General features: G+C 37.7%; 2 annotated features.

Moving 5' to 3' along the window:
* Nucleotides 291-792: an enhancer, noted in NCBI's record as "NANOG hESC enhancer chr17:68289713-68290214 (GRCh37/hg19 assembly coordinates)". NCBI's record gives its function as "activates a minimal SCP1, AML or CMV promoter by ChIP-STARR-seq in primed H9 embryonic stem cells {active_cell/tissue: H9 hESC(primed)}" and the evidence as "EXISTENCE:reporter gene assay evidence [ECO:0000049][PMID:30033119]".
* Nucleotides 6,001-6,110: an enhancer, noted in NCBI's record as "active region_12661". NCBI's record gives its function as "activates an Ori minimal core promoter by ATAC-STARR-seq in GM12878 lymphoblastoid cells {active_cell/tissue: GM12878}" and the evidence as "EXISTENCE:reporter gene assay evidence [ECO:0000049][PMID:35858748]".

A 6,763-nucleotide genomic window follows, 5' to 3' on the forward strand; every position in this document is an offset into this window, starting at 1 on the left:
AATTTCACATGCCTTATGTATCAAAATCCAGGGTTGACAGATATAAATGTACTTCACATACCTATTGATTGATTATAGTCAATCAACAATCTCAATTGATTGATTGATATTCTTACATTAAATTCAAAATGATACTTCAACTTTTAATATTTATCTCAGTATTGTCAATTTTAACATCAGGGGAAATCAGACGTATTGTGTTATTTTAAAAGTAATTAGAAATGAAGAGATATTTGTACTATAAATTTATTCCACCTGTAATTTAGTAATATATTTTATTACTTAACTAAAATTGGTTGTCATCATCATTACATTATCAACTGCGTGCTTACTACATGTCAGTCATTAATCATCTAAATCAGTGATTCAAGTGAATTCTCAGAACAATGATATGATTCGGGTACTACAAGTATTCCTATCACTTACAGTGATCAAGAAATTCATGCTTAGAAATGCAAACCAAAACCGCAATGAGATATCATCTCACCCCAGTCAGAATGGTGATTATTAAAAAGTCAGGAAATGACAGATGCTGACAAGATTGCAGAGAAATTGGAATGCTTTTACACTGTTGGTGGGAATGTAAATTAGTTCAATTGTTGTGGAAGACAGGGTGCCATTCCTCAAAGATTTAGAACCGGAAATACCTTTTGACGAACCGGAAATACCTTTTGACCTAGCAATCCCATTACTGGGTATATACCCAAAGGAATATAAATCATTTTAGTATAAAGTTACATGCACACATATGTTCATTGCAGCAGTATTCACAATAGCACAGACATGGAATCAACCTAAATGTCCATCAATGATAGACTGGATAAAGAAAATGTGGTACATATACACCATGGAATACTATGCATCCAGAAAAAAGGAATGAGATGATGTCCTTTGCAGGGACATGGATGAAGCTGAAAGCCATTATCCTCAGCAAACTAACACAGAAACAGAAAACCAAACACCACATGTTCTCACCTGTAAGTGAGAGCTGAATGAGAATACATGGACACAGAGAGGGGAACAACACACACTGGGGCCTGTCTGGAGAGGATGGAGGGAAGGAGAGCATTAGGGAAGAGAGCTAATGAATGCTGGGCTTAATACCTAGATGATGGGTTGATAGGTACAGCAAACCACCATGGTACAAGTTTACCTATGTAACAAACCTGTACTTCCTGCACTTGTACTCTGGAACTTAAAAAAAAAAGAAAAGAAGAAAGAAAAGAAAAAGAAACTCATGCTTAGGAAAGATTAAGGTAATTTCTTAAGGTTTTTTAGGAATAATTACCTCTATTAATAGTCAATAGCAATAACGAATAAATAAATTTATTTTTCAGAGCTTCTGATCATAAGAAACTTGAAATCCTCTCAATATTCAAAGTATTATAAACACAAGATAAATTTATGTATGAGCAGATAGAGAGCTAAAGTTTTCCTACTGTGTATTTTAAAAAACAGTGAATGAACAATGGGGACAATGAAGGCCAGAGATAGGAAATCTCCAACTGAAAGAAGAAAATACTCGGTTTTCTGTAGGCATTTTTTTTCTGACAGCAAATGTTTGGCAAATGGGCTTTTAATTATATTGACAATACCTGAAGTAGCTTGCTAAATCATACCCTCTTTTGCGAGCTTGTTCTTTAATTTATCTAAATTTAGATTCAATATCCATCCCAGCAGGGATCTGGAACTCGAATATTTCACCAATTACTGCCCCTAGTCCTAAATACATTGCAGGTGTTTACTTCTACAGGCTGAGACATCAGTGGTTTTCTCAGCTTATACCCTTTTCCTCTAGTTGAGGAGAGGGGATTATTGTACATGGTTAGGCAACTTGTGGCTACTTATTGGTCAAATGTTTAGATATTGTCTTCAATATTTTACTTGAAGCTATATTTTATACCAAAAAGCCCACAGATACATTATGCTTAAATGCAAAAAAAAAGTTCCCGATCCAAAAATTATAGAAATCTTTTACCTATGCCATTTCAATAACTCATTCCCTTTCATCTCTTCATTAGGGTAAATAAGGACTTTATTGGTGTTCTTTACTTTCAGCCAGTGTCTATGAAATGACAACATGTATAAAAAAGACACCAAGTCAATACCTACTCCCTGAGGGCACGTTTACTTCAGTTTAAGAAAAACACACTACAGGGTATTTTAGTATTTCCAGTTTCTCTTGTAAATGGAGAACTTAAAAGAAACATTATCTACCACTGTGAGCCAAAGAGGAAATAATGTTGAGAAATTGCAAACTTTTGAGGGATTAAGCAATGACCTCTACAGAAAAAAAAAATTCACAGGGGAAAGAATCCTTGGGAATTGAAATATATTAGACAATGCATCAAAGGGGATAAAGGAAAAAGAAAGCCAGGTAGTTTACAATGAGATTTAGAGAAGTAAAGTCCTGAATGTCCTACTTCTCATGACTGGGAAACAATGAGGTAACAATGGGGCTCTGCACTCAAGGTACTTAATGAGAACAAACATAGAACTATATTAATAGTCCATAGCAATCACAAATAAATAAATATATACATATATAAAACCACTCAGTCCCATGGCTCTATTTCCATCTGCTCACATTGCTCCCACCTGCTATAGTTTATCAGAGCCACTCAAGTGTCATATGAAGGACACCCTTGTTGCTTTGGCTTGGGCTGTGCCATGTGGCATTTTGGAGAAGTTTCAGCTGGTTCTCTGCTTCCTCATGTAACTTTGGAGCTGCTTTTATATGACCTAAGATACACTTTTTTCCAATAAAGTTTTCTCCATAGATTTACACCTTTATGCTTTTCTTTTGAAAGTAGGATCCACTTTAGTAGTTCTTTATTTCGGGGTTTTGCACGTACCCCAAATGTACTTTGGTAAAAATAGCCTGGCACGTTGGGGAAGGGAGACTGCAATAACTAAAGAATGTCATATACTGTTATCTTCGTTAAAATAGGTTTGATGTCTCAAAGGTTCACTGAAATGGGGAGAATTTAATCATCTCATTCAAAAGGAGGATAGAGTTGGTTCATGAGAGAAAGCAGGGCATAAATCAAAGTTTCCTACCAGGAGTCAGGAGATCTGGCTCCCATTTGCAGCTTTGCCTCAAATTAAGTGACTTGGCTTAAATTATTTTACCTCTCCTAGACTCAAGCTTCCCATCTATAAAAGAGTGTATGATCCAGCAATCCTGCTGTTAAGAATATATCCAAAAGAAAGGAAATCAGCATATTGAAGAGATGTTGACACACGTACTCATGTTTATAGTGGCCCTATTCACAAGAGCCAAAATATGGAACCAAACTACCTGTCCATCAATTGATGAATGAATAAAGAAAATGTGGCCTATACACAAAATGGAATACTATTCAGCCATGAAAAAGCAGGAAATCCTGTGACAGGAAACAACATGGATGAAACCAGAGATAATTATGTTAAATGAAATAACCCAGGCACAGAAAGACAAATATTGCTTGTTCTCACTCATATGTGAGAGCCAAAAAGGCAGATTTAAAAGAGGCAGAGAGTAAAATAGTGGTTACCAAAGCTTGGGAAGGGAGGAGAGAGGGGAACGAAGTTAGTTAATGGGTACAAATGTACAGGTTGAGAGAAGGAATATGCTCTAGTATTTGAGAGTATAGTTGGGAAATTATATTTAACAATGATTTACTATATATTTCAAAATAGCTAGAAAAGCAGAATTATAATATTCCCAACACAAAGAAATGACAAATATTTGAGGTGGTGGATATCCTAATTACCCTGATTTGATCATATTGTATACACATCTCAAAATATCACAAGTACCCCCAAATATGTACATTATATATCAATAAATTATTTAAAAATATATATATATCAAGACTTTTCAACCTTATCTATCAGGCTCACATATAGTTGTAGATATAGGTTTTATATATATATACACACACATGTGTGTGTATATATACACACACATGTGTGTATATATATACATATACACAGATAGATATAGATACAGATGCATCAATGCTCAGCTTCTCGCTCAAGAGCTCGGATTTAATTGAAAAGAGGATGGGATTCAGACATTACATAAATCATTATATGTTAAATCTACCCAAGTGATTCTAAGGAGTAACTAGGGTTGAAGACCACTGAAGTTAATAACGTCTATGTTACTTCTACTTCCCAAGTATAGAAAGCCAAATCCATAATAATTGCAGGGAGTTTTTATGTGCATGGCAGTGAGGCAGACAGAAGGAGGGAGTAAAAGGAGGGGAAAGGAGAAAAGTAAATCACTATTTCTCATCCTCAGATTCTTACAATCTGGACAGGAAACACCCACAATATTACCACCAAAATAGCATAGGCTGTGGCTAATGCAAAATAGTTCATAGCGAAATTCTTGAAAAAAGGTGAAATAAGCCATTCATAAGACTTTATAAAAGAAGGTAGGGATCAGCATGAATTAGAATTAGAAGATGAAAAAGATTTGCTGATGAACCTAGGAGCACAGGCAGCATGTGGTCTTTCTCAGTTATGAGAGAAGGCCACTAGAAGTTCTGAACTCCATCTTGCCACGATACATCATGGGCTGTCAGGCATGAGGACTTTGCACATGTTAACATTTTATTCCTCCGGTCAAATCCCTTCTTTATCATTTACTACAATCCATCCTGTAAGTGCAGTGGCATGATCTCGGCTTACTGCAACCTCCACCTCCTGGGTTTAAGTGATTCTCCTGCCTCAGCCTCCCAAGTAGCTGGGATTACAGGAGCCTGCCACCACGCCCGGCTAATTTTTGTATTTTTAGTAGAGATGGGGTTTCACCATATTGGCCAGGCTGGCCTCAAACTCCTGACCTTGTGATCTGCCTGCCTCGGCCTCCCAAAGTGCTGGGATTACAGGCATGAGCCACCGTGCCCAGCCCATCCTGTAACTCTTAAGGGCCACATTAGATATCATCTCCTCTTGGTATCTTTTACTACCTTTAATAAAGAGGCAATTAGCCCTCACTTATCTTGCCAAATTAAAGTTGCTTTTATACTGCCTACTATATTACATTATATACATTACTTGTTTTCACGTTTGTTTCCTACTCTAGATTTTTTTTTAAGTCATCTAGAGGTGGCAGAACAATAAAAATAAATCTTTTTTAACTCAGGAATAATTAAGGAGTAAATATCTACACAAATGAGGCTGGAATATGAAATGTTTGTGTACTGAGTAGTGCCATAATTGGAGACACAAAAAAATAAGGAAAATAATGTGAAAGTATTGCAATTGAAGTTCTCTGAGCAAGAAAATGGCCAAGTTAGAAGCTTGATAAGAAAGGGAATAGGCCAGGCGTGGTGGCTCATGTCTGTAATCCAGCACTTTGGGAGGCCAAGGCGGGTGGATCACGAGGTCAGGAGTTCAAGAACAGCCTGGTCAAGATGGTGAAACCTTGTCTCTACTAAAAAAACAAAATTAGCTGGGCATGGTGGTGGGCACCTGTAATCCCAGCTACTCAGCAGGCTGAGGCAGAGAATTGCTTGAACCCAGGAGCTGGAGGTTGCAGTGAGTGGAGATCGCACCACTGCACTCCAGCCTGGGCGACAGAGTGAGACTCCGTCTCAAAAAAAAAAAGAAGGAGAATAAAATGAAGGTGAGAAATGTTCAAGAAGTCTCGATCACCATTGACAACTGACTCATTCAGGAATAGATGGTGATTCCCCTCCAATTTTTGAAGCTGAGGAAATTGTATCATATTAGCCGAGAGAGTGTAAGAGTGACAGCAATATAGAGAGAGAAATTAAGAATGTGTGGGTGTATGTAAATAAAAATGATAAGCATATTTGGAGCATTTAAAGAGAGGACAGGTTATCCATATGAAGACTTTATCATAGACACTCGAAGGACAAAACTATGGAGTGAATTTTGCTAAACGAGTTGAGGCTGCATTTGGGAATTTGAGAATGGTTCACGAAGGTGACGACTAAAGATATAGAAACCAAATTGAAAGAACTTGCAAAATAGAGAGCTAAGCACGTAACCTTGGGGGGAAAAAAACCAGAAAAACATGATATTAGAAGCTGAAATGAGAGTTTCAAAAAGGAAGAGGTGACAAATTCTGTCAACTTTCTCAGAAAAGGGAAAATTCATTTTGAGAGAATGTAGTCATTGGGTTTGGCAAAAAAGCTTCAGAAATCCCCTGAAAGGGAAGCAGTTTCTGTAGAGACGGGAGGGAGGACGCTCCCAGGAGGAGGGCTGTTGTGAAAGTCAGCTGTGTAAAGGAGTACAGAAGAGAGTTGGGATGAATGGCTTAACTGGAAGTAAATTATTATTATTATTATTATTATTATTATTATTATTATTATTATTTGAGATGGAGTCTCGCTGTATCGCCCAGGCTGCAGTGCAGTGGCGCGATCTCCGCTCAGTGCAAGCTCCGCCTCCCGGGTTCATGCCACTCTCCTGCCTCAGCCTCCCGAGTAGCTGGGACTACAGGAGCCCGCCACGACGCCCGGCTAATTTTTTATATTTTTAGTAGTGACGGGGTTTCACCGTGTTAGCCAGGATGGTCTCGATCTCCTGACCTCGTGATCCGCCCGCCTCAGCCTCCCAAAGTGCTGGGATTACAGGTGTGACCCACTGTGCCCGGCCTGTGAATTATTTTTCTAAAAGAAATGGACACCAAATTTATCTGAAAACAAAATAATCATTCTGTTCCATTAACATGTATGTCTATTACAGTGTTACTACCACCAAGTCCTAATTATGCAACTTTATACTAAGCCTTGAAATAGGC

The sequence above is a fragment of the Homo sapiens genome, chromosome 17 (assembly GCF_000001405.40).
Source record: "Homo sapiens chromosome 17, GRCh38.p14 Primary Assembly".
NCBI lineage: Eukaryota > Metazoa > Chordata > Mammalia > Primates > Hominidae > Homo > Homo sapiens.